At 45.1% G+C, this 2,581-nt stretch overlaps 1 pseudogene; it reads left to right on the forward strand.

Annotated features, from left to right (window-relative positions):
* SLAMF6P1 (SLAM family member 6 pseudogene 1) lies at positions 408 to 778 on the forward strand (annotated as a pseudogene).

Raw genomic sequence — 2,581 nt, forward strand, 5'->3', positions numbered from 1 at the left:
GTGACAGTGAAACTCCAGTTCTGTGGGGCAGAAACATTTCAGAAAATAGGAAGTTGTGAGAGTTGAAATCTCAAACTGAATAAAAAAGAGGGACCAGCCAGGGCAAGGCTGGCTTCTGACTTCCCCAGTGGTCTCCATTCTGGTCTTCCAGGGCCAGTAGCTCTCAGGGGAACACAACCCCAGAGACAGGGATGAGTGATCCTAGCTGGAAGGATCCCTGGGGTGATCACTGGAGATCCCAGCAGGAAGGAGAGTTTAAGCATTGCCCACTTTGAGCTCCAGCCACAACACCACTGCTAATACCTGTTTATGTCCAACATTCTTGTGGGCCCCAACATAGGGGAGCTATGACTGACTGGGAGACTTGTGGGGAGGGACAATTGTCAGGGACATTTTGTAGCCTTTTCCTTCTGTGTTCACAGGGAATCTAGTTTCACAAAGCAGCTCAACCCCATTGATGGTGAATGGGGTTCTGGGGGAGTCAGTAACTCTTCCCCTGGAGTTTCCTGCAGGAGAGAGGATCCAGTTCATCACTTGGCTTTGCAATGGAACATCTTTTGCCTTCCTAGAACCCTATGAAGGCAAAAGTCCAAAAATCTACGTGACTCATCCGAAATGGCAAAAGCGACTGAGCTTCACCCAGTCCTACTCCCCGCAGCTCAGCAACCTGGAGATGGAAAACATAGGCTTTTACAGTGCCCAGATAGCCACAGAGACCTCTGCAAAGCTGTCCAGTTACACTCTGAGGATATTCAGTGAGTAAGGGCATAGAGGACCAGGTCCCTACTGGTAAGGGTGAGTGGGCTACCCACTAAGCCTGGGGGGCTGTATGACCCTTGGTAAAGGCGGTCTCCCAGTTTCACTCTTTTTGTCCGTCCAGAACCTTTCCTAGGTAGATTCTTTTTTCTTCTCTCTCCTTATTCTTTTTTGTCCTTCTTCAGTCTGGCAGCCCCTGGCTGTGGTTGTGGCTGGCTGAAAAACATACAACTTACCCCTTCCTTTATGCCGGTGCTCAGGAGTTGGAAATGAAAGAGTCAGAGATCTTTGCATTAAAGGGGTCTGGATTTCTTGCTGAGTTCTTACTCCTTGATGATCTGAGTCTTCTCCTAGCATGACCTGGAAAGGTCCTTAATTGCTATTTGTGTCTTTTAAAATTACTGTTTCAAAACAGAGCAGCTGCCAAGGCCTCAAGTTAGAGTGGATTCTATCATCTCTGAAAATGGGATCTGTAATGCCATCTTGAGGTGTTCTGTGGAGGAAGGAGGAGAGACCATCACATATGAGTGGACATCAATGGGACCAGGGGCTGCTGTGTCCCACGTGGGGTCAGTCCTCTATGGCTCCTGAAGCCTTCATGACCTGGATTGGATCTACACTTGCACAGCTCTGAATCCTGTTAGCTACAGCAACTCTACTCTTACCCTTGCTGCACAGCTTTGTGCAAGTAAGAGTCCCCTTCTGGTCTCTCTAGCACCCCTTGGAAATGTTTTGTCTGGTCTCTGTAGCACCCCTAGGAAATGTTTTGGGGTGAGGGCACAGCAGCCCTTGTCACCTGCCAACAACCCTCATTCGACTTACACACATGTGCTCTGTCCTCTCTCATTCTACTTTCTCTCTTTCAGGTTCCAAGGCAGCTGAAGGCACCTATTGCCCAGTGAAATGGATTTTCCTGGGGAACAGGCTTCTTCTCCTTGTGTTCCTTGGTGTCCTACGAACTTGGCATATTCAGGCACAGGTGCTCAGCAAACCCTTGAGGCCTAACTCAGGGTAATAAGAGGCCACCAGTACCCCAGGAGAGCCAGGCTGTGCCCAACTGAGGCCATTACTTTTCTGTGGCTCAACTAAATTACATTTATTGACCCGTACTCTTTTCAAGGTGAAGTACTATGGATTGTCAAAGGCCATTGGGATAAATTTTTTTATTTTGTCATGTCTGAGCCCATGTACATGCTTATTTTTTTTTTTTAAAAGAAGAAGTTTGGTCAAGAAGAGATAAAATAACTGCACGAACACCATATGTTATCTATTCTAAGCATATTTTTTCTCCACAATTTAAGGTTTCTGAAATCAAGATAAGTCATAATATAAATGTATACAGCTAAAAGGAATAGGGTGTTTTTCTCCCAAAATATCATTATTAAAATGATCTGCTTTTTAAAATTCAGTGGTGTCTTCTGTTGATAGAGATGTGAATTAGTACACTATTATGGAAAAACAGTATGAAGGTTCCTAAAAGAATTAAAAATAAAACTACCATTTGATCCAGCAATCCTACTACTGGGCATATATCCAAAGAAAATTACATGTCGAAAGGATATCTGCACTCTTATGTTGATTGCAGCATTATTCACAATAGCCAAGATATGGAAGCAACCTAAGTGTCCATCAGTGGATGAATGGATAAAGAACATGTGGTATATATACACAATGGAACACTATTCAGCTTTTATTTATTTATTGAGATGGAGTCTCACTCTGTTGCTCACACTGGAGTGCAGTGGTATGATCTCAGCTCACTGCAACCTTGCCTCCCGGGTTCAAGCAATTCTCCTGCCTCAGCCACCCGAGTAGCTGGGATTAC

This window comes from Homo sapiens, chromosome 1 (genome assembly GCF_000001405.40).
Source record: "Homo sapiens chromosome 1, GRCh38.p14 Primary Assembly".
NCBI classification, from domain to species: domain Eukaryota; kingdom Metazoa; phylum Chordata; class Mammalia; order Primates; family Hominidae; genus Homo; species Homo sapiens.